At 36.6% G+C, this 25,684-nt stretch overlaps 1 protein-coding gene across 7 annotated transcripts in view, besides 1 other annotated feature; it reads left to right on the top strand.

Moving 5' to 3' along the window:
• Positions 1-25,684, top strand: part of FGF12 (fibroblast growth factor 12) — a 588,152-nt gene that overhangs the window by 416,965 nt on the left and 145,503 nt on the right. The gene's annotated exons all lie outside the window — the stretch shown is intronic.
• Positions 5,428-5,597: an enhancer, noted in NCBI's record as "experimental_67460 CRE fragment used in MPRA reporter constructs". NCBI's record gives its function as "activates a minimal promoter by MPRAs in K562 erythroleukemia cells, with activity observed for both the introgressed and non-introgressed 3:192022854 variant alleles {active_cell/tissue: K562}" and the evidence as "EXISTENCE:reporter gene assay evidence [ECO:0000049][PMID:34662402]".

The raw sequence follows: 25,684 nt of genomic DNA, 5'->3' as shown, positions 1-25,684 counted from the left end.
TATTTAATGAAAACCAGATATAGAAATGTATGTATCAATTCTGCAATGTACATTTTTGGTGCCTTGCATCAGAGAGAATATTACTTCCTCATAAGTATTTGCAAATTGCAATTTATGGTGCAGTTTTAAGTATAAATATTTTAAAAGGGCTCTAACTGAAGTTTGAAGCCCATAGAAATCTTTATAGAAAGACACATGAAGACATACTTTCTATAATTAAATATTTATCTTTAGTTCATACATTTTATGATAAATCACTTAATGATCATCTCTACGATATCAAAATAGCACACAGTTGAGGGGCAACATGTGTCTTCCACTCTCAGTTTAGTTTGTTTCACCTTCTTCATCGTTAGACATAATAAGCACATCTAAAGTCATAGAAGTCTATTTTGTGAAGTGTGACTGTTAATCCAGGTTGTAGCTCTTGGCATTGCGACAAATACTTTACCAGCACTTTTTTGTGTTTATTACAGTATTCTTATGTCTGTTACTCAAGGTCAGTGGCTGGGTTAATCAATATTACTTTCACTCATTGAATCAGATGAGATTTCATGCTCGATAATTTACCATTTTAAATATTCTATATCTACTTCACCTTGTGTAGTTTAATTCAGCCCATCTCTTAAAAAGAAGAAAAAAGAGTAAAAGAAGAAGTACTCTAAAATAAATACTGAGAAGTACAGAGTTTTAAGAAGGATGAAAGATTTTCAACATAGTTTAGCCTAGAATAACATTTTCTGATGGGTTCCCTCTAGAAGCCAGCATAATTCTCTGGCTTCATCTCCATTTTCATTTACTTTTATGACATGTTTTCCTTTCCTTTTCAGTCATTTCATATATCTCAACTTTCCATGCACTCAGTCAGTGCTCATGTCTCTCTGTCATCGTTATTTATCAATGTCCTGTTTCTTCTTTAAGACCCAGTATACCTCCACCATGAAATCCTCACTGTGTTTCCTGTTGAAACTGAAGAAGTAGTCTGCCTTTCTTTATTCTTCCATAGCTTTCTGCTTGTACCTCTCTCCCACCTTAGGTTGAGTTTGTACTTTTGTCTCCAGAAATGAATTATCAGCATCTTGAAGGCAAAGGCTGTGTCCGACTTATCTTCCAGTTCCCATCTTCCAGTTTCCTGCAAACTCTCTCACCCCCATCACCCACCCAACAGTACCTCCACAGAGATGATGGAGTTTTTTGTTGCCACAGTTTCTTCAAATGTGTGGAAAAGCTTTGTGTCCTCACTGTAGCCACTTAGGAAACCATAGCAGATGGGATATTTGTGAATTTAATCTTAATGAGACTGACACAAGCTATGGTTTCTGCTTTGGTTTTCCCTGAATGGTCTAAATCATAGCAGCAGTCTTTCTTTCCACTAATGGCTGTGTTGTGCTCTTCATTTTATTCTCTTCCTTTGCACTCTGCATGTTATTTTTTATAGTCAATTTAGCATGTTTATGGTTACATCTTTGCTTTAAAATTATGTGATACCCAGAAATGGAGTTGCTCCTGCATGATACATTGAGGGTGATTCTTTAATTTACAAAAAGCAAGTAATATTTCTGTAGATGAAATACAATATTTACATTGTATTTTATATTTTACATTGTATATTTACAAAACATGTTTGTACTTATTGTCTCATAGGAAAAGTAAGTGGGTACAGACCTTGAACTAATTTTTCAATGCCTACTCTAAGACAATTTCTTTTATATAATTCTAGAATATTTAACATTCACCTAATTTAATTCCTTAAAATAACTTATCTGTAATCTTTCCCCTACCCAATGCTCCGTCAAGTAAAATGGATTGCTGTAGGTCAGTGGTTTAAAGGACCTTATTTGGTTTGGACTTTTATTTTTTTAAATTTATTTGTTTATTAATTTCTTTTTTTTTTTTGAGATGGAGTTTCGTTCTTGTTGGCCAGGCTGGAGTGCAATGGTGCAATCTCGGCTCACTGCAACCTCTGCCTCCCAGGTTCAAGCGATTCTCCTGCCTCAGCCTCCTGAGTAGCTGCGATTAGAGGCACACGCCACCATGCCCGGCTAATTTTTTTGTATTTTTAGTAGAGATGGGGTTTCTCCATGTTGGTCAGGCTGGTCTCAAATTCCCAACCTCAAGTGATCTGCCCGCCTCGGCCTCCCAAAATGCTGGGATTACAGGCGTGAGCCACTGTGCCTGGCCTCTTTGATATTTTAAATTTTAAATATATTTGATATTTTGTTTGTTTTGCCATTAGATCTGCCAATGTCATTTGCCCTCCAAACGGTTTAACAACCTATTACTTTTGAGTGCTCTAGTAATACTGAGGTTAAATGTGATTGAGACAGTTGCATATTGGGTTCTGGTTATTTCCACATTTACTTGTTTGTTCTTTTACTGTCTGGTTTTTCACGTGAATATCGTTGGAGAGTGGTTTTCATTCTTAAAAGCTTTTAATGGTCTGCTAATTTATCATCTCAACAGTGATTTTTTTCATTAGTATTATAATTTAAAATATAAGTATGGAGCATAGAGCTGTAGATAATTATAGTAAAAATTCATTTCTTAAGATTTCTAACGTGCGTTTCTTGGTCTTTATTCTCAAATCTATATTTACAAACAGACTATATTTTTGGTGTCTTATTCTTCACAAAATGAAGTCCCTACTATCTAAGATGTATGGTGTGAAAATGTAAAATGGAGTTGTACAGCCTAAGTCTCAGATGAAAAATGCAGAGGGAAGTAATTGGCCACATTCCAAACTCTTCTGAGAGACTGATCCAGTAGTCCAAAATGGGAAATGAAATTTCAGAAAAAGCATTCCCCAAAGAGGCATGATTCATCTTGCGTGGCAGTAAATATAACTCTTTGAGCACTGTTATTTATTTGACCACTTCACTGGGGTCCAAGCTTGCCTATCTTTGCAAATCAGCTTCTCAGCAAACTCTTAAAGCCCAACCTCAGTGCTTCCCCTAACAGTAAACTGTTATTATTGTTGTTTGGTTTGTTTTAAAAAAATTCTGCCTGTAGAATTGAGAGATCTTCCAAATATGCCAGTTCTGTCTCTGCTATCTAGCATTGTGCCCACTCTAGCTTTATTTATTTATTTTTTAACTTTCAGTTGATAAAAGTGATCATAGAGGTCGGCTAGACTACATCAGTGGCTTCTTTTCTAATATTCACCACAATTAGCATCCTGTCGTTGCTGCTATCTCTGATATTAGAACTTCATTACCTAAAGCGTACCCTGGAGGTGACGATAAGGAACATTTTCTATTTATTGTGCCTTTTTTATCTGGCATCATAGATAACATGTTAATTACTTAACACATGGTTAATGTTCTAAAGCTGTTGGTTGTTGTAATGATTAAAAGAATTTTTCTGTCTCTGTCTCCATTGTATTTCTTACCTCAATCATTATCCATATCCATGTCTATCTATATATTTGTCTTCCATCACATGAAATGATGCCTAAGATATGGTAAGTGCTGTAAAAGTGTTTGCGAAAATTATTATTTTTCACATAACACATTTTCAACTATTTGTTGATCACATTTAAATACTACATGATGTGTGATCATAGTGTCCATGAGAATATTAAACAAATCTAATTCTTTCACAGGTACTTTTCTCATTTTAAGTAAATAAATATTTTTAAATAAATAAAGGAACAAGTAAATAATATTATTAAATTTTGGAAGTGGAAGGAAACATAAATTATTGGGTTCAACCCCATTTTATGAGATTAGAAAATTGATTTGGACAGGCTGGACCTTTTAAATCCATTCATTATCCAGAGGTCCCTCTTATTTATACTGCCTCTCCTGAAATGTGGTGTTATTTAATCTGTGCAAGTGATATTTTATTAGCTTCTGCCCTGGATAAGCCCTTGATGACAAACCATTGTCGACTCTCTGGGGCCACCAGAAAACCATTCATGGTCAACATATATCAATCAGCAATACAGGGTTGAGAACTAGAATTCATTCATTTGCCCCTTAGAAATATATGTCAAGAAACTCTCTTTAGGTTGTCCAGGCTGATTTTGAACTCCTGGACTCAAGCAATCCTCCTGCCTCAGCCTCCCAAAACTCTGGGATTACAAGTGTGAGCCACCATGCCCCGCTTCTTTGACCAATTTTTTGGTAGTGATTATGATGCCACCCAGAAAAATGATGCCCCTTTTTGCCTTCTCAGAGTATTCCATCATTGGAGAATCATAACCTGCAACTCACCTGAACTGGGGGTTAAGGCACGTTTTTATGTATACCTGGTTGCAGTAGTGGGAATTAGTGGCTTAGAGCGTCCATAATGGATGGATTTGTGTAAGAATTTCCAACTTGTTGTGTCCCCTAACATATAATTGAAATCATATAAACAAAAATGTGCATTCAGAAAAGGTAATCCAACTGTGTGTTTTTGTGTACATTTTTAAAATTTAAAATTTTCATATTTGTAATGACACTGGATCCACATAAAAACCTTAGAGACAGGTGGATCACGAGGTCAGGAGATCGAGGCCATCCTGGCTAACACAGTGAAACCCCGTCTCTATTGAAAATACAAAAAATTAGCCGGGTGTGTTGGCAGGCGCCTGTAGTCCCAGCTACTTGGGAGGCTGAGGCAGGAGAATGGCGTGAACCTGGGAGGTGGAGCTTGCAGTGAGCTGAGATCATGCCACTGCACTCCAGCCTGGGCGACAGAGTGAGACTCCATCTCAAAAAAAAAAAAAAAAAAAAAAAACCAGAGAGATGGATTGAGCAGTGTCATTATTGCTATCTTAGAAAAATAGAAAGTTTCTCAAAGGAAATAGGGGTCACTAATATCAGTGTCCGACACAAAAACTAAGACTCTTAACTCTAGATCTTTTCACACAGTTTTTCATAGGATTTATATATATTTATATATATATATATATTTTTTTTTTTTTTCCTAAGCCACCTTTCTCTCCCTTATTAGAAAAGTAAATGTTCTATCATGTGCAGGAGTTTAGAATTTCTATTTAAGACTTTTATTTCTTCATTTGTGTTTCACTGGAAGCCAGAATATTGGCTGAGGTGTGTGTCTGGAAGAGAGACGGCGATGGTTTGAGGACGTGAGAGCTGGGGACTCGAGCAAACTGACGTGTAGAATCTGGCTGGGAGGCAGAGAAGGAGTGGGAGGTATATAGAGAAAGGGCAGCTCGACGTGTATTTCTGGGAAGAAAAGTAAAACACAAACAAAGGTATTATATCTCTGTTTAAAAATTTGTTTTTTTTTACATTTAGCTTTTTGAGTTTGTATGAAAATGAAGCCTGTTAAAATTCCATTTTTTTGACACCCTGTAGTAGCATCAGTCATCCTAAGGACTAAGAGGTGACATACAAGAGTGGCAATGAGAAACAGTGTTATACTGTATCTGAAAAATGGTCTAAGAGTTGTATTTAAAGTAGTCAAACATCTTTGATATCTCTCCTCATGCATTTATAACAATTTAGTTTTCTTTCTTCTGTTTCCATCTTTCCTTTCTCCTTATTTCCCTCCTTCCTCTCCCTTCTCTGTTAATCTCTCTTGTTTCTGCTCCATTCCTCCAATCCTCCTCCTCTTTCTCCATCCCTTTCTTTTTTGTTTTTATGAGTATTTCTTTAATAGCTATTTGTTAAGCATGTACTACTGTGTACAAAGTGAGCTAGATGCTTTGGGTGTGTGTGCTACAAACAATGAAACAAAAATTCTGCTCTCAAAGGAGCTTATACAGCAAGAAAGCTAAACAGTACAAAAATTAAGACATTCAAAGTGGGATCTACTAAAGTTCTGAGTATGGAATAAGCATTATGAAGCAGAGAGGATATTTTAAAATTGTAGCTTAAAACTGTAGTTCTTGTCAGTAAGTCTTACTGATTTGGGTCCAGCAGAATACTGGCCATTGTGACCTGTTCTTAACTGTATAACAGATTCACGTGTTATAACATGTAAAGTATGGTATATGCGATAATTATATTATACCTTTTTAATATTAAATATTACCGCAAGCAAGTGGAGTTGAGTGAGAATTGAGAAACTGACTACTGTAGGTCCTTTAAAAAAATTTCCTGGTCTTTCCTTTCTATGCAGGAGAGAATTTTGATAATAAGATAAAAAGTAGATACTCTGTTTAGACAGACCTGTGAGGAACTATAAGCTTGGTAGCACTTGCTTAATCAAATAAACCATGGACTATCCCAAGTTTTTAGTTATATGTAGAGCAGGAGAATAGTAATTTCATGGAATGGAGAGGTCATCAGGAGGAGACAGCAAAAGTAAAGCGCTCGGTGCCCAACAGGGGAAGTAGATGTCTTGGAAATAATCTCTAGCATGCATGAATGTGTTAAAAAGCTGTGGAGGGTTAAGAGAGTTTTGTGCAAGATCCCTTGGATACATGTGTTTTTGGGTTCTATAGAATATTGCTTTGGGGGTCATTTAGTAGGAATAAAAACTGTCTCCAATTTAGCAACACCTCAAGTTCTCGCAGCATTAAATGATGGAATGATAATAATTGTTAGTTAACATTTTTGAGTGCTTACTACAGTCTTCACAGCCAGTCCCTGAATCACGTCCTAGCATTATCTTCCTTGGGCAGGTGAGGAAATAAAGATGAAATGGCTTACTGGAGATTACCCAGATGGGAGCTGAAGCTATTAGCTATATTAAATGCTGTTTCTCTAATAGTAGGAAAATGTCAGTTAGTATTTATTTACATGAAGCTTGACAGTTTCAAAGGGCTTTGAGATCTGCTATATTTTGTGATTAGCACAACACTGCTGTGAGATATGTTAGGCCAGGCAATGTATGTATCTTATTTTAAGAGATGGAAAAATTAAAACTCAGGGAAACTATCATGCCTCAGAACACATGGGCAGTAAGTGATAAAACTAACAGTCACCTTTAGGTGTCTTTAAAACCTAAGCGTAATCCACCACACTCTGATACCTGTTCATAATTTAAACACACAGACATCTAATTTTAGGCAAAATTCCAATCATGCTGTTGAAATTCTAATAGTCCCTGGTGCATGGGAATGTAAATTTCAGTCTCTTAGTAATTATCTTGTGCACTATACAGTCTTCACTGGAGTTGCCAGATAAATGAGATGTCATTGCACTTAACAGCAAGGATCACTGCTGCTGGCTTTTGATTGGCTCCATCTGTTGCTAGGAGGAGTTGCTATCTCTCAGCAGCTGCCAACCAAGCAGGCATTTCTGACTGGAGCTGAGTCTAGGTTGACATTAGCTAGAAAAGGGACGTATCCTAACCTGGCAAGGACATCCTTCAAGTCGATGTTTTTGTCTACTAACGTGACAAAATCTCTGATGTTGATGCATTTCATTGCTTTTTGTGAAGCCCATTTTTTTTCCATACTTAAATTTGTGTAATGGCTGACAGACCATATTCATGCACCTTACAAAAGAAAAAGTACATTGCAATTAACATATGAAATGCAGAATTTGGTTCCAGCTCTATTGGAAAATTGATATATTGTTTGATTTAAAAAATAAGGACTGTTTTTTCTAAATAAGGACTCTGGGCACACATCATTTTCCTAGCAATTACAAAAGAGATTTAAAAATGTTCCCTTTAGGATTTTGATAAAAGAATGAGAATTGTCTGATTTGGATGACTTCCCATGTTTAAAATCCTGTTTATCTGCAATGTGACTGAAATAGATGCTGGGGAAGGAAAAGCATTATGTTCATTCTTTCCCTTCTTGCCTTTACTTATCATAGTCTGTCTGCCTGGAATGTTCTTCACCTTGTTTAGCTAACTCCTGTTCACTCCTTAAGATCAGGCACCAATGCAAGACTTGTGACAAAACTTTCCACATGTACCTCTCCCATTAACACTTACTTCCTTCTTAGTGGTCTCAGAGTTCTTCCTTTGTATGTCCAGGTTGATACAGCAGTAAACTCTTTATGCTCACTGTTTTCTGCATGGCCATTTCCATTCTGAGCCCGTTGAATGACTAATATGCAAGGACCACATTTTATGCAATTTGGAATTCCTGGGACCTAGTCCCGTGCCTGGTCTTAGTAAACACCCCTCCTTAAATCCCCAACATCAACATCTAGACATTTAGTGAATTAGTAAGTGCACATTATGATATATTAGTCTTCATCTCTGAACAGCTCAATTCAGGTTCCAGTTTCTCAAAAGTGAGACTTAAAAGGGGGAGAAATCCCACCCCAACAACAAAATCTTAATTATATGTCTGACTCCTTAAATATATTAACTGCCTCCAATCCTACACAAACTCAGATGTATTTGAGCATTTTCTAATAACAGTCTGAAAAATGGAGCAGAGTCTGTTTAACCTGGCAGGAACTTCACAAAGTCAGTTGCCTACAAGCTCTATGACAGATGTGAAAGGAAGGCTCCCAGAGGAGACATGACCTGCCTAAGGCCACCCAGAGGGCTGGTGGCTCTACTTCAACACCTAGCAGGCGTTCTGTTAGATTTTTTTCTCCCTGTCACTTGATTGTTCTGCAAAGCAAGTGTTGTGCTCACTTTTATATTCTCCATAACACCGTCTCAGTTGTACATTTTGGATTCTTGGTAAATATTAAAATGAAATAGGGTTTCTCTTATTCTCTTCATCATATTCTTTTCATGGCAAAAGGTGTAAGAGAGAAAAGATGGCTCTGATTTGGAGAGTAAATAAAAGAAGAGGTGGTTGCTCGGGCTCCAGTCAAAGGATTAGATGGCGAAAGTTTGCCTCCTCCTCCTTGTTTCTTTCCCTGCTCCCTTCCTTACCTGACTTCTACTCCCATACTCTCTTTTCTTCTTCTCAAGGTGGAGAATCTACCCAATTTCTGCAGTGTGTTGAAGAGTGTCATAATTCAAAATACTAAGCAGCAGTACCCTCTTTTTCTACATGCTCCTCCCTTCATCTGGAACACCCTCCCTCCACTCTGCCTGGCCAATTTGTGCTCATCTTACAGGTCAAAACTTCAATTCCACTGACCACGAGACTATGCATGCCTTTGTTGCCACAGTACTCTTTTCCTCCGTAGAGCTTATCATAATTTTTTGGGTTCTTACTCACTTAACTAATGCCTGTCTCTCCAAGTCAACTGTAAGCTTCACAAGGTCAAAGACCATTTGTGGTGTTTCTATACCATTGGATATCTATCACCTAGCATGTGGTACCTGACACATAATAAGTGTTCAATACATTTTTACTTACTGGATGAATTGAGTAACTAAACAATAATTAGTAGCTCTTGGCTATTTCTCCCAAGTGACTATTTAGTGGGACCCTGTTTCTTTAAGACACTACTTGCAAGATAAAGAGAGTATTCGGTTTTCTCCCTGATGCTTGTCTTGGAATGATTTCTCCATGCCCGGTGATTCGTTTATCTTCACCTAGTCTTAACCCATCCCCTTCCAGATATTGCAAACTCCTTTCTATTGCCCTTTTTTTTTCACAGTAATATTTTAAGTCCATGTTTCTTTGGACTTTCAATACCTCATTGTGTTTTCCTTATGGAAAGTGACCTCTCTACTCTTCTTTGTCCCATGCATTTGCTATGCTTGCACATTAACTGATTTCTGGACAATCTTTCGGGAATTTTCTTTTCCTTTGAGGCAGAATCTTACTCTGTCCTCCAGGCTGGAGTGCAGTGGGGTGATCTCGACTCCCGGATTCAAGCAATTCTCATGCCTCAGCCTCCCAAGTAGCTGGGGTAACAGGTATGTGCCACCACACCCAACTAATTTTTGTATTTCTTAGGAGAGATGGGGTTTCACCATGTTGTCCAGGGTGGTCTCAAACTCCTAGTTGCAAGTGCTCAGCCCCCCTTGGCCTCCCAAGTGCTGGGATTACAGATGTGAGCCACTGCGCCAGGTGAGCCTTCAGGGATTCTTAACCGTTTTGTGCCATGGATCAACTTGGCAGTCTTGTGAAGTCTAGGGATTCCCTTTTTAGAATAATACTTTTTAATTTATATATAAAAAAATACATAACATTATAAAGAAAATGAATTATTATGAAATATAATTATCTACAACTCTTCACTCTTACTTCTCATGACCGCCCCCAAGAAAGACCTGACTTGACCAAAATTGGCACCTACCATGCTTCCCCCAGGACCTGGCCCCAGGCATTTGGAAGGTAATAGATTGGTAGTCCAGGATTGTAATATTGGGCTGTCTCTGTTTAAGCTAAAAATTAAGGTAAACTATTAGGTCCCATCTGGACAGCCCCATTGTTAAGTTTTATATAACCTTTCATAATCGGCCTCAATGACAGATATGTCCAGCAAATATCCAAATTGGTTTTAAAGTCAGTTGCACCATCATTTACTGATATTTAAAGTAGATCATTATAATTTAGTAAGTACCACTGGTGGCTAGCTCTGGGAGGAGGGCTGCCATGTGACAGAGTAGGTAAGATTTTCCAACCCAGGACACCTGGTAGGTGCTATTAGCAGCGATACCAGTGTCTTCCTGAGCATGCCCTAGGGGTGGCAGAAGGGATTGCCTGTGCTCCCCTATGTTTTGCCAGAGTTTCTATTGGCTTTTGTGGGAGATGAACACAATCCATAGAGAAAATAGGCCCCAGTGGGACAGGTGGAGCATCACATGAGCACAGGGGAAGAAAAATAAAATGCATAAATACCTGAGGCAGCTTTGTAATTTCAGTACTGAAATGAAGTCCTTCTAATGAGGAAATATCTAATAGAATCAATGTATCTGTGGAAAGACTATCTTAGACTGGGATCGGGAAGACTTGAGTTCAATGACTGGCTCAGTGTTTTGTGCCTTACTCATTGCACAGAGAGCACTGTCTACGACTTCATGTGGCATTCCAGTCGTTCTCCTCATAGTCTGGAGTCACTCGTCCTCCCTTCAAATTGTAAACTCATCAGGTAATATTTAATTAACAAGAATTTATAGAACATTTTTAATGTATCAGCACTGTTAAGACATTCTTTTGGGAACAACACTATATCCTCCATAATGCCTAGAACAAAGTTAAATGTGTATTTGAGGAGTTTCTGTAGACTTATTGTATGTTTGCATATAAGTAATTATGGTGTAGTATGCCATAGAAGTCTTTCAGCCTTTTATTCAAAAGAGACTTACATTTTCTCATTTTTTAAATACAATATACATTAGGAGAGGAAACAATCTGAGGAATATTTCAGATATATGAAAGAATAAGTCATGTCCTCAAACACTATAGAAGCACATATTTACATACAACCAATTTGTATGGTAATCACAGGCCAATCTCATCCAGAATTTCTCAGCAACACAAATCAAATTTGAATTTACAGAGTGTAGTCAAAAGTGATATAATTTCAGCTACAAATTTCTCCAAATTGGTGGTGGCAGGAAAGCTATTTCTACTTCTTGGCCTTCCCTCAGTCTGCAACAATCTTCTCCAATTTCTTCTGCCTATCAAAATCATGCAAAACCCAAGTAAAACTACATCTTTTGTGAAGCATTGTTTTGAATCCTCACTGATATTGATTGGATATTTGTCCCCTTCAAATCAGGTGTTGAAATTTGATCTGCACTGTTGGAGGCGGGGCCTGGTGGGAGGTGTTCAGGTCGTGGAAGCACATCCTTTATGAATTGCCTGGTGCCATTCTTGAGGAATTGAATGAGTTCTCACTCTTAGTTCCAATGAGATCTGTGTGTTAAAAAGAACCTGACATGTTCTGTTTGTTCTCTTGCTCCCTCTCTCACCATGTGATATGCAGACTCCACCTCCCACATCTCCTTCCACCATGACCAGAAGTTTCCTGAGTCCTCACCAGAAGCAGAGGCTGGTGCCATGCTTCTTGTAAAGTCTGTAGAACCATCAGTAAAATAAACCTCTTTTTTTTTTCTTTGAGACAGAGACTTGCTTGTCACCCAGGCTGGAGTGCAGTGGCACGATAGCTCACTGCAACCTCCACCTCCTGGGTTCAAGTGATTCTGCCTCAGCCTCCTGAGTAACTGGGATTACAGACATGCACCACACCTGGCTAATTTTTGTATTTTTAGTAGAGATGGAGTTTCACCATTTTGGCCCGGCTGGTCTTGAACTCCTGACCTCAAGTGATCTGTCTACCTCGGCCTCCCGAAATGCTGGGATATTACAGGCATGTGCCACTGTGACTGGCCAAAATAAACCTATTTTTAAAATAAATTACCCAGCCCCAGATTTTCCTTTATAGCAACACAAAATGGACTAAGACACTCACCAAATAGAAATATTTCTTTCTTCTTTTGTTCTCCGACCTTCCTGTTCTTCTATTGTTGTCTTTAATCATCTTCATTTTTCACTTACCTATATATCTCTAGTTAATTGTAAACTCTATGAGATCAAGGGACAGATAACATTTTTCTCATCTTCTTGCTAAATCATTCAGTGATTTGCAGATAGCAGAGCTCAACAAATGATGATTGATTGACTGGTTAAATGAATGAACAAATAAAGATATGAGTTAATGAAGCTGAGAGAACATTAGCTTTTTATGTTGGGATGACTAGTGATTGCTGTGTGCCATGCACTGTGTTCAGTCTCGGGTATACAATAGTGAACTTGTGCTTGCCACCACAGCGCTAATGGTCTAATATTGTAATAGCGGTTACAAATGCCTTCTCAGTGTTATATTCAGAAATATAGACATTCTACCATTTTTGAGAATGTATGGAAAAACCTGTGGCTCTTAAAAACTGCACACACGTTGGAGTACAGAAGTGAGCTTTCGAGAAATATAGAGAGCATAAAGAAACCTATGGGTTCAACTTATCAGTGCCTAAAAATATTAAAGATGTTAACCATATCAAAACAGCACTGCTAACTTTGGGGATGTTAGAGATTCTATTTCAAATAGAGATTCTATTTCAAAATGAGATTCCTTTTTGAACTTATCCAAACCATTTCTTGCTTGAAATCCTCAGTTTTATAATCAATTGCTCATTCCCCTGACAAATGAGTATTCTGGGGATTAATTATTTTAAAGCACTTTGCAAATGAAGGGCCTATATAAATTCTAAGTGGTATTGTTATGTTGTGGGTGATGTGCCAGGGAAATATTGACAAAAGCCCTTATTTGCTAAAGCCTGCATTGACGTATTAAACTCCTGCTATAGAACAGTGCCTCTGGGAGTCTTATATATTCTTTTCTTTAGATATGTGAATTGGCAATTAAAAATAATTATATTGCATACTCTGTCATGCCAATCAAGAAATCTGCATTTAACAACACAGGATGTGGTCTTTGAGTTCCAATTACCAAACAGTATACTTTTCTCTTCCCTTTTCAAACAAAGTATTGCGACTGAACCAGTCTAGCAATCCAGAAGACGTTTTTAATTTTTAAAATTTTTGCTTCATAGCATATTTCCAGAAAAGTGAATGAATCGGTCTTGTTTGTGGGCTATGACGCAAATCGTGGGAAATTCTAACCAAATAGGTTTTTCTCTTATTATTATTTTTTTGAGCAGACATACCTATATATTGACCCTAGTACTTTTATTGTTCTTCACAACATGTGCTGGTAGAAGGGATAGTAAAGGGTGAGCAATAACCATGTTGTGCCAAAAACAAGTCTAGATAATGAAACTTGAACAAAGCAATTTAGAAGAATTTCGGTTCTCATTTGTGGGCACTTTGCTGACTACCTGGATTTTATTCCTTTTGTAAACTTGCATGTAAGCCTATCTTCCCTGGGTTTGGGCTAAAATGTGTTCAGGAATAATGTTATCAGTGCAAATGATAGAACAGAGTTAGGCTGTATAAACTAAGTACTCCACATGTTTTTTTCTGAAATCTAAAGTTTGGACCTTAAAAGTATTTTATTTTTAAATTTGATATTATCAAATTTGCAGGACATTTCTTAAGGGATTGTAAAAGTTTCATACAGAATTATAGATTACTTATGTGCATTAAACTCATAAAGAGCAATATTTCATTTCTTATGAAGACCTAATAATGTTCTTTACAAAGAAATAAAGAATCTGTACAACTAAAGATGGTAAATATTAATATCATGTTTTAGGATGTTGTATTTTCTTATTAAATCAGGACAATTTTTGAAGATTTTGTTTAAAAATAAAATGAGGCTGGGCACAGTGTCTCACACATGTAATCCCACCCCTTTTAGAGGCCAAGGCGGGGCTATCACTTGAGCTCAGGAGTTTGAGACCAGCCTGGGTAACATGGCAAAACCTTGACTCTACAAAAAATATGGAAATAAGCTGGGCATGATGGTGTGCACCTGTGGTCCCAGCTACTGGGAAGGCTGAGGTGGGGGGACCACTTGAGCCTGGGAGGTCAAGGCTGCAGTGAGCCATGATTGTGCCACTGCACTCCAGCCTGGGTGACAGAGTGAGACCCTGTCTCAAAAAAAAAAAAATAAAATAAAATGAAAACATTGTAGGCCAGGCATGGTGGCTTACGCCTGTAATCCCAGCACTTTGGGAGGCCGAGTCAGGTAGATTGGTTGAGGTCAGGAATTTAAGACCAGCCTGGGCAACATGGTGAAACCCTGTCTCCACAAAAAAAAAAAAAAAAAAAAAAAAGAAAGAAAAACAAAGTTAGTCAGCATGGTGGTGTGTGCCTGTGGTTCCAGCTACTTGGGAGGCTGAGGTGGGAGGATCGCTTGAGCCTGGTAGATGGAGGTTGCAGTGAGCTGTGATAGTGCTACTGCACTCAGCCTGGGCAACAGAGCAAGACCTTGTCTCAAAAAAAATAAAATAAAATTTAAAAATAAATTAATTAAATTAAATATTTCTATTGCAGTTTTTAAATCAGAGTTGTATTGGAATAGCTATGAAAAATGGGAGTGTTTGTGATAAAAATAGTCTATACCAATTTGATTTTGACAGATATTTCAGGGAAGAGATTTGATTTTATTTGAGATTCAGTATTCTTTAAAGAGAAAATCTAGATTTACCTTTAAGACAGTCTATCAAAACAATCACTCTAGGTTGATATACTTTAATATTGCTTCCTGTTGAAACATTTCATTAGGATTCCTGCTGTGATTATATTTAGCTCTTATTCCTTGGATAGAAAATTAAGAGAGAAATGTAGACATTAATTTGATATATCCACACTTGGATATTCTGTCTTCGAATTCTTCTTAAATATAACACATTATTTTGAGGTTTTATATATGTCGAACAGTTATCCAGGAGAGAAGGCATCTGAAGTCCATACTGCCATGGGCAATGACTCTAGTTAGGTGAGGCATAAGGAGATTCCTGGTATATAATTGGTGCCAGTGGTTATATTCAAAGGTCATGATGACCTAGTGGTATAAATATTTCCAAAATTAACATGCTGTTTTGTAGTGGATAGATAAGTGAACTGGGAGTGCGGAAATCCAATTACTAGTTCCAATCCTGCCACTGACCCACACCAAAAAGTACAATGTATTGCCAGAAGGCTCTAGGCAGTTCTCTTAGATAGGTCGGCTTTTGTAAGCCAGAGAGAGTAGGAGGTGGGGAGGTGACTGAATGCTAGCAAGAGAATGAGGCAAGATTCATACCGTTTCTTCTCCATCACTCTGAGTCTTAAAGCCTCATCATTTTTTGTCACTAGAAACAATATGTTTACATCTGCATAGAACTGTCTTTGATTGGTAGGATAATTAACCTGCTAGAGTCCACTGGTATTATTTTAAGTTAGGGTCTTATGGGCAAAATTCTGAGAGTTTGTGTTTCAAGAAACCAAACCTCTTGATGACTTCTTAGTTTTATATACTCAAGGGAGCCCTCTTAGTGTTAAACAATATGTCTTTATAGAGAGATATTATATTTTTCTAAAAGTAGTTACCTAATCTAATTAAAGTTTATTTACCCCTATCAATTTAGAAGATTGCTGTTGCTTATCTTTTATTTTATGTTATAGTTGCAAAACTTTTCCCTATAAGCCAAAATATGTTGGAAGATCAGGAAGAAAGCAAAAAAGCATGTTAAACATTAAAAAGACAAATTGTGATGCCTTTCTATACAATCTCATGCACTTTATTTGTAAGAGTAGAAATTATTCTGCTTTTATATGATCTGATATCTGTGCTTCTTCCAACCTAGGTTGTTTTGTTTCTTTGCCTAAGGAGACAGGAAGCTACACTTAAAAAGGAGAAAAAGAAAAGAGTGACAGCGATGACAGGGAACAGTGCTATGACTGAATGTTTGTGCCCCCCTACATTCATATGTTGAAATCCTAACTCCTAAGGTGGTAGTTTTAGGAAATGGGGCCTTTGGGAGATTAAGTCATAAGGGCTCTCAAAAATGTCATAAATGTCCTTATAAAAGAGACCCTGGAGATCTAGTTAGCCCCTTCCTCCAAGTAAGGACTCTGAGAATTAGTCTGTTTCACACTGCTGATAAAGACATACCCGAGTCTGGGAAGAAAAAAGGTTTAATGAACTCACAGTTCCACATGGCTGGGGAGGCCTCATGATCATGGTGGAAGGCAAGGAGGAACAAGTCCCATCTTACAGGGATGGCAGCAGGCAAAGAGAGAATGAGAGAAAAGTGAAAGCGGAAACCCCTTATAAAACCATCAGATCTCATGAGATTTATTCACTACCATGAGAACAGTATGGGGGAAACCACCCCCATGATTCAATTATCTCCCACCAGGTGCCTCCCACAACTTGAGTGAATAATGGGAGTACAATTCAAGATGAGATTTGGGTAGGGACACAGACAGACAGCCTCATCTATCGACCAGAAGAGCAAGCACTTACCAGACACTAAATCTGCCATCACCTGGATATTGGACTTCCCATCCTCTGGAACTGTAAGAAATAAAGTTATATTGTTTATAAGCCATTGGCTACAACTACCCAAACAGATGAAGATAAGCAAGAACTAGGAGAAACAACCCTGAATCAAAAGAAAAGGCAGGCAAATGTTGAATATATATTAGAAAATGTTCCACACAAAAAGAAGGAACGTTTGAAAGGTACAGAATCTCTAAATCTTTAATTAATTATAAATGGCAGTCAGTGCTACATTCCTGAGAAGCCCAGTATACTGAGGCTTTATTCACCTGCATTATTCTCTTAAGAACCTCACAAAATTTGGCACTTCTTTTTGATACAAAGGCTCTCAAACTGATAGCAAATCGAAACACTAGAATAATCCCTAAATCAAATTAGCCTTGAGGACATGAGGATGTGACGATGGAAAGGTATGTTAAGTTTTATTTTAGAAAACCCTTGAGAATGAGGTTCAAATTTAGCACTGGAAAGATGATTGGAAATCTCCAGATACATACACTTCATTTTCTCTTCTGTTAACGAATTGTAACAGGTAAATTTTCATATGATTTTCTTTTATTTCCCAAGAGAAAGTGTTTTTCTTCCTCTAAATTCCACCATTTTTTTTTCAGTAAACATCACTAAGGCACAGAATTAGATTAACCAGAGAAAACTTTGATTGAATTAAATGAAATCTCTCTCTTTCCTTCTTTAATATCTCTTTCTCAGATGTCTATGAAAGAAATTTAAATGAAATTCTGAGAGATCATATGATCAAAATTACCTCTCAAGAAGTCAGTTGTTGGCTTATGCCTATAATCCCAGCACGTTGGTAGGATGAAGTGGGAGGACTGCTTGAGGCCAGGAGTTCGAGATCAGCCTGAGCAACTTAGCATGACCCCCATCTTAAAAAAATAAAAAAAGCCTAGCTGGACATAGTGGTACATGCCTGTAGTCCTGTAGCTACTCAGGAGGCTGAAGTGGGAGGATCGTTTGAGCTCAGGAGGTCGAGGCTGTAGTGAGCCATGATCATACCACTGCACTTCAGCCTGGGTGACCAAGCGAGACTTTGTCTCAAAAAATTGAAAATAAATAAGAAGTCCCTTGTTCAACTGGTATGTTTGTATTGAAGTGTGTTGTTTGTTGTTTCAGATAGGTATGTTTTAGATAGAAAGTGAGCCAGTCAGAGAGAGAGACTGACTTTACAAGCCAGAAAATTGTATAGACCGTTAAAATATTTTTAACGGTGCCATGTTTATTTCAATATCTTAGACTTAAAGCAATTGTATGCATATTTGAATAAATGAATGATTTTTCCTTTAATATCCTCTCATTATTTTATTATTTTATAAGTAAGACAATGTAGAAATAGAATTGACTCAGATGTTTCCATTTTCCTTTAAGATGAGAAATTAGCACTGATTAAAGGCATTTTAAAGCAATCAAGGTCACTGTCCTAAAGTAAATTATCACGAATTCTCTTTATAAAACTTAGAAAAGGATGCTGACTCATTGCAACATATTATTTTATGTTTGTACTGTATAATATTCTGCAAACACTAAAAAAAAAAAAATTGTTTGGTATTCCTGACACAATGACCAATAAAATGCCACAAACACAAAGCATTTGAAAAGAAACCACGTGATTTGTCAATAGCTACTTGGTCCATATGTGAACAAAGTAACTTGCCCTTAGAAAGTCGCTTATAACACGCTGAACAAACTTCTGATTCTGAGCAATATTAGTGAGTAGTTTTAAATTTACTATGAGTGTAATCAAAATTTGGTGTGAATGTTAGCCATTTTCATATTTTGGTTGAGTGTCAACACATGTTTTGAGCTTTGATTGTGGAATTATTATGATTTGCCTTCCTATTTCTACTTAAATGGCATTTCAAATTGGGTTAGCTGCATGATCCCAATGCCAATTTGATACACGTATTGTTGAATATAGCACACTTTGCTTTTATGAGGACTTTGGGAAAATAGTTCTTTTTTCCTTTTAGTTAAGATTCACAATCTTTTGCTCCACAAGTTGTGTCAAAGGTTACATAACTTTAGTATTTCCCTTAAAACATAGAAAGAATGTATTTCTATGACTCATTTGTTTCCATATATTTATTTCCCCTACTTATTTCCATAGGTTTCTCACATTTATTCTATTAATATATACCTTTTGCTCTGTATTAGTAAGCCAGTACTTCCCAGAGTATTCATTTGAGGAATATTTTTGGGTGATATTCTGGAACAAACCTCTGGCCATGGTAATTTTTTTTTTTCTTTTTTTTAAGACAGGGTTTTGTTCTTTTGCCCTGGCAGGAATGCATTGGTGCAACCTTGGCTCACTGCAACCTCGACCTCCCAGGCCCAAGCAATTCTTCCACCTCAGCTTCCTGAGTAGCTAGAACCACAGGTGTGTGCCACCACACCCAGCTAATTTTGTTTATTTTTTTATGGAGATGAGATCTCACTGTGTTGCCCAGGTTGGTCTTAAACTCCTGGTTTCAAGTGATCCTTCTCCCTTGCCCTCCCAAAGTGCTGGGATTACAGGTATAAGCCACCATGCCTGGCCTGTAGTGATAATTTTTTAAAAAGTAACATCCATAAGATTCTCAAACTGTTATGTCCATAGAATAATTAATAAATGAAAAGTGTTTTATAAAAATATATACACATATATCAGATGTTCTTCGTATACAAGAAGCTCTCCTACTCAATAGTAGTAAATCACCAGAAGATAATAAGAAAAGCAATTTATTTATGCACAAATACATGTACAGTCCATGAACTGGAGACATGGTAATTTAATGTTATTTAATAAACAAGGGATAGTGACATTGTATATGTAGATAGATAGATAAATACACACACATATATGCATAGAGGTGAAAAATACACACTTGTATGTATAGATGTTTTTCGATGTATGTGTGTATATACATGTATGTTATATACATATTTTTTGTATGTGTCCTTTTTTTTGAAGTAAATAACTTTATAGCTTACCAGACCAGAATTGATTCTAAGATTCCTATATTGTTATTAACAAGGATACAACCTGCATGTAACTATTGGGATATTTTTGTGTTTTAACAAAGAGTCACTTTAATACAATATAATTTAAGAACCTGTCTTTTCTGTGTAGCAAGTGAATTTCCCAGCTAGTTACATGAAGAAATAAGTATCATGATGTGTTGGAAACTTGAGAGGTCAAGTCCCATCCCTGCTACTCACGAGCAGCACAACTTGGGCAAATGAATACTCTGTTAGTGTCAGGTAGCATGCTAGGTGTTTCGCATGTATGACTAATAAATGGCACACCACAGGGCTGGGCTTAGCTGTCTTCAGTAGGCTTGCCCTTAACCATTGTAACTTGGAATTGTACTCTATAGACAGATTGTAACTCCTACAACTTCCCCTTCTTTCACTACTTTATGAAAAGCTCCTACGCCTTTATCTGAAGCTGTGACTTATGTATTACTTTATCATAGGGATACGATCAGTAGGCAGTGTAGTGCAGCCAAATCTTTTTAAAAATTGTTATTTTTAATTGAGAAATCATAATTGCACACACTTATGAGGTACAGACTGATGTTTTGATATATATGTACAAAGTGGAATAAGTCAAACTAATTAACATATTTATCATCTCACATAATTTTCTGTGGTAAGAAATTGGAAGTTTACTATCGTAGTAATTTTGCATTACACAATATATTATTATTGATTATAATCACCCTGCTGTGCAATTGATCTCAAAACTTATTCTCATCTAACTAAAACTTTGTACCCTTTGACCAACAACTTTGTCTTTCCATCCCCAGCCAAGAGGAGATATTAGTTGGGTCTAACTCCAAGCTCCCATGCAAAGCAATCATCTTGCAAATGTCACTTGATCTCTTTGAGCTTCAGTTTTCTCATCCATAAGAGAAAGATGATAAAACCTTTTCTGAAGGGTTACTGGAAGGTTGAATGAGGCACTGTCAGCTGTGTTATAAAATAAATTATTATAACTGGGTTTCATATCTCCTTGTAATCCCTATTTTGTAAATTCTACTTATTCCCCTGATAAAGAGAGAACTGGCATTTATTGGACATCTAATATGTACCAAGTGCTTTATTTACACTAATTAATATTAACTACAAACTTAGAAATTTGATGTTGTTCCTCTAATTTTGTAGTGAATAAACAAAAGTTAAAAGTGGTTAACTCTCCCACATAATGAAAATAAGAGATGCAGTCGATAATCCCACTCTGGATTGTTTGCTCTTCTCTTCTGTAGGCTGGAGCCAGGTCTGTGCAGTACCCAGCAAGATTCCAGTCTCTTCCTCACACATATCGACTTAGAATGGTCATTGTATTTTCGCATTTGAATCCTCTACTTATTTTTTTCTTCATATCTTCCAGTGAGTGTTCCTTCTCGTTTTATTCTTACCTTCCTTTTGGCACAAAAGCTGAGACGCTATCCTGTTGCTCCAAATCACCAGTCACGTTACCTATTTTGTTGTCATTACAGCACTTGCCACTGTCTGAAATTATTGATGTATTTAGCTAGGCACTGATGGACTCATTCAAAGGAATGTAAGTTCCATGAGACCAGGGACCTTGTCTACCTTGTTGGGTCCTGCATCCCAGCACTTAGAATGGAGCCTGGCATTGTGAATACATAATCAATAACTGTTGAATAAATGAATGAAAGATGCTCAGCTATTTCCCCAAATCTATTTCCTATCGTCAGAGGCTGATCAAATCATTTAAAATATAACCTTCAGGTTCCTGCATGATTATCAGTGTTTTCCTTGAATGTCATCTAATTTCCTGGAAAGATTTCTTGGTGATAATAGACTTGAGTATCAGTGAGTGGTTTCCTCTTGTAGCAGGATGTCAAGGGCACTCGGACATGAGGCCTTTTTTGGTATCATGAATGGTAGTTCTGTGATAAAAGTTAAGCATAAAAGGCATGGTGCACATGAGAGCTTAGGTAATGTTGAAGACATTTAAAATGGAAATATAGTGTTTATATCTTGAGTGCACAGTTTGCAGCCAATCTTTAAAGTGTCATTTCAAATAGAAAAATGGATTTATAACCAGGTCCCATGTTCCTTGGTAACCAGCACAAACTAGTTTTGGGATAGACTAAAATTTTGTCTACTTTGATACTGAAAAGCCATTAAATAAGAATTAGTTTGAGCTCCATTGCTTAAGTACATTTATCATTGCCAAAATCCTAATTATGAACACTTTATAGTTGATGATTCAAGAAAATAGGATGGCCATGGATGAACTTTCAGGCTGTTAAGTGGAAACGTGGAATCATCAATTAAGATACAAGTATCATTTGTATTTTAAATATAAATTTCATCTGGATATCAGCTATAACAAAAGAGCATACCATAATTTAGTAAAAATTAAAAAAATTAATCACAGGTATAAATCTAATTTTGAAGGAAGATTCATGAATCCTTCGGGAGAATAGATACTATGTTTTGTCTTTCTCTTAAACGATACCTAGATGGTTTATGTAATTGTGCTTCAGCTTTGATAGTATTTCTTGATGTCTGTGTTAAGTGTATTCTGCATTAATTGCTATAAATCACTCTTGTTCCTGCTGTGAATTTATTTTTCTGTTAGGTAATTGTTTGTATTTTGTGAATGACGCATCTTTGTCACACAGAGTAGCATTGCAATTCACAAACTAAGTTTTTCCCTGCCCACACATCGCTTGAAAACTTGTCACTTCTACCCAAAGTTATGCCTATAGTGAACACCCCAAATCCTGAAGCACTTTTGGAAGATTTTTTTTATTCTAAAGCCTTTCCTTCAACTTATTTCTAGGAGTGATTAGTGATTAGTGCCTTATTAAACAATAACAGACAATAACTACATTTTCTTGGCAACTGAGTTTATCAAGGGAAGTTACTACACCAGGAAGCCCTTTTTGGCTTAGGCTGGGTTAAAGAAGTATCTTTTGTCTGCGCTTCTGCTCTAATGTGTTTGTGTTTGTCATCGCATTTGCCACTTTTTCTTTTTTTTGAAAATAAGATAATGTATCCCTTTCCACCAGTAGACAGTGAGCATCTCAAAAGCAAATGATCCAGATGCCGTGTCAACCTTTGTAAACTCAAATTCTGGCATAGTTCTTGGCACACAATAAGTATTAAATAAATAGTTGTTGAACTTGGAATCTAGATGAATACCCTTTTCATTTACATTCTCAGAGTCACTGAAGGTTTTGCAATCATTTGCCCCTCCACTGAAGGACCCCAGTCTACTTTGGGGTTAGTGGTTTTACTATTTTGGCTGGCTTTTTAAATGTAATCTCTTCTCATCTGTGCTAGCTTTCGGAGCTTTTCTCATGGTTGCTGCTTCTAGTCTGCTTTGATGCAACAGACCAGATAGCTAAACACATTAAAACAATAAGCTAAATTTCACGGACTGTTAACCTCTGAACAACTGCTGAATAAAGGTATATGCATAGAGTTGTGTTAAGTATCATTAAGATACAAAGAAAGTACAAGACACGGTTCCTCCCTGATTTACTTGGAGAGACAATAGGCAAAAAGGGAATACAACTGGAGAATGAGATAATATATCCAGCAGTGAATTGTTAAGTGCAGATGAGGGTTAAGGAAGTAACACTAAGGGAATTAGTAAATAAAGGATGGTTCATAAATTATTATGGTAGTCGATGTGATTAGATCTAAACATTGAACGTTAATCAAAAAGAAACAGGGAGATTGACAAAATTTATTTGGAGAAAAAAGGTTAGTATAGTCAAATGCTATATTTTTCTTATTTTAGGCCTGGTAGTCTTTAATTTATTCTGAGTCATTCAGACAATTCCATTTATGTTTGATCATTAATTTTCTATTTTGGCTTTTTTATAAGTTTGTAAATTGCCTTATTATCTTAGAATTGCATAGGATGTAAACCCTGAAGAAAACATTTTGAAAGGCTGACATATTTTACAGCAACACTTCTGTACATTGTAAGTGTGCATGCCATGGCTTAGCAGCAGATATATAGTGTCTTAAAGTTTCCCATAAGTGGTCAAAACCCTCTGCTATCATGGAACTGTTGTGTTATTTGATCACTTGTTGATAAAAATGAAGATAATTAAACAAAAATCAATCTCAAGAGTATACTCAGAACAACAATAAACCATTGTCTTAAAAGTTTTGTGAATATTAATTAACACAATAGATAAAAGGATTTCTTTTTCATTCAGTTATTTCTTCATTAAGAATCAGTTCATTCCATTCTCTCTTTTGTGCCTTTTTGGGAGACGATTTAACATTTCCTTGTTGAAAACCTCTGTATCTACCATTTGTAAGCATATGTGAAACAACCAAAACTGGTCATGATCCCAGAAATCAATCAATTCAGTCAGATTGCAGATCATTCTAAGCAACTGAAAAAGAGGGTACAGATTTCTGGCTGCTTTAAATTCTCCATAACTCAGTAACACCACAGTACTCAGCACTAGTAACAGTGAATGCAAACAGTGAGTGGGAACGCTTCCAAACAGAGTCTACCATGGATGCATATTTGAGTTGGAGGGTTTTCTGATTTGGTAAGGACCTTTGGGAGGCTTCATAGCTCCATCAGAAAATTAACCTCTCTCTGATGGGCGCCAACAGCACATGTAATGGAAAACTTAACCAGAAATCCGATGATATACAATTCAGAGCTCTAGGATTGATCCTTTTACTCCTTAGCTTTTTAAAGTTCATATTGTAGCAAAAGTATGTCTGTTACTTCAAGGTTCAGTTATCACCTCCTTATTGGAATTTTCACTTGCATCACATGAATGAATGACTGGCCTTCTCTAAGCCTGCCATTCTTTGCTTATATGACTAAGTTTGATAAATTTTTGTTTAATTGATTGTGTATCCATCTCTCCTAAACTGCAGTCTCGTCAGGGACAGGCACCAGGTTGTGCTAATTTTTGTATCTCCAGCACATTGTAAATATGCAAACATTTGCTGTCATAGTTAAGGAGCACACTATTCGTTCACTCAATTATCTTTGGTTATTTCCACCAAAAACAAGATAACCTTGAAATAGTCTAGAATACTCTCACAATAGGATGTTATTTCTTTTACTTCATGCAAGAAGTTTTAATTACTAAAGGCAGCCATGAAAATAATTTTAGTTTGACCTAAAAGGTGGTTCACAGCATAAACACCAAAAATGAAAGTATAATTAGTTTTTTGGACATTTCAGTTTTATTACAGAGGGTAGAAAGTGAAACGAGAGCTTCAGAATTTAAAAGAATTTCAAGTTATAATAAGAAAATGACAGTAACTGAACTACACTCACATGAGAGATTCTTAGAAAAATGCTTATTTACATAGGCCATTTTTGAAAAAAAAATACAGGAGCAAACTATATGAATGATATTTAATTTACTCATGTTGCATTCCCTGTAATAAGCTGATATTCTTCATAAGTCATTGATCTAGAAAATCAGTTCTTGATGTGAAGATATTTGCTTGAGATTGTAGTGAAAAGAGCATAAGGTTTAGACTCAGGAGGCTTGAATTTTAGTACTGGCTTGGCCAATTAGAAATAATGTGGTTATGGCCAAGTTACTTTATTTCTTTGAGGCTTATATAGCTCATCTGTAAAATGGAGATAATAATTCCACTGTCACAGGTATTGCTTATCAACTACTAAGGGTCATGGGGATTAAACTGGCAGAACATGATTTATATTACATTTCATTTCATAGGGCAGCAGTATACTCAAGACTTGAACACTGCATTTGTCAGGTCATGGTAAATCCCAAATAGTACTTAGTATACTACAATAGCTTGTTATACGTCTCTGTAATGTGTATCCGAATAAAGGCTATGTCTGTACTTGTACCTTGGTGGAACCTAACTAAAGTAGCTCCTGGGCAGTCCAATCAGCTTGTTGTAAATCCCAGTAACATTCATAACTTCAGAGTCACCAGCAATCTGATAAGAGCCTA

The sequence above is a fragment of the Homo sapiens genome, chromosome 3 (genome assembly GCF_000001405.40).
Source record: "Homo sapiens chromosome 3, GRCh38.p14 Primary Assembly".
In the NCBI taxonomy this organism is placed as follows: Eukaryota; Metazoa; Chordata; class Mammalia; order Primates; family Hominidae; genus Homo; species Homo sapiens.
Note: the sequence above shows the minus strand (reverse complement) of the source record. Positions and strands in the feature narration are given on the sequence as shown.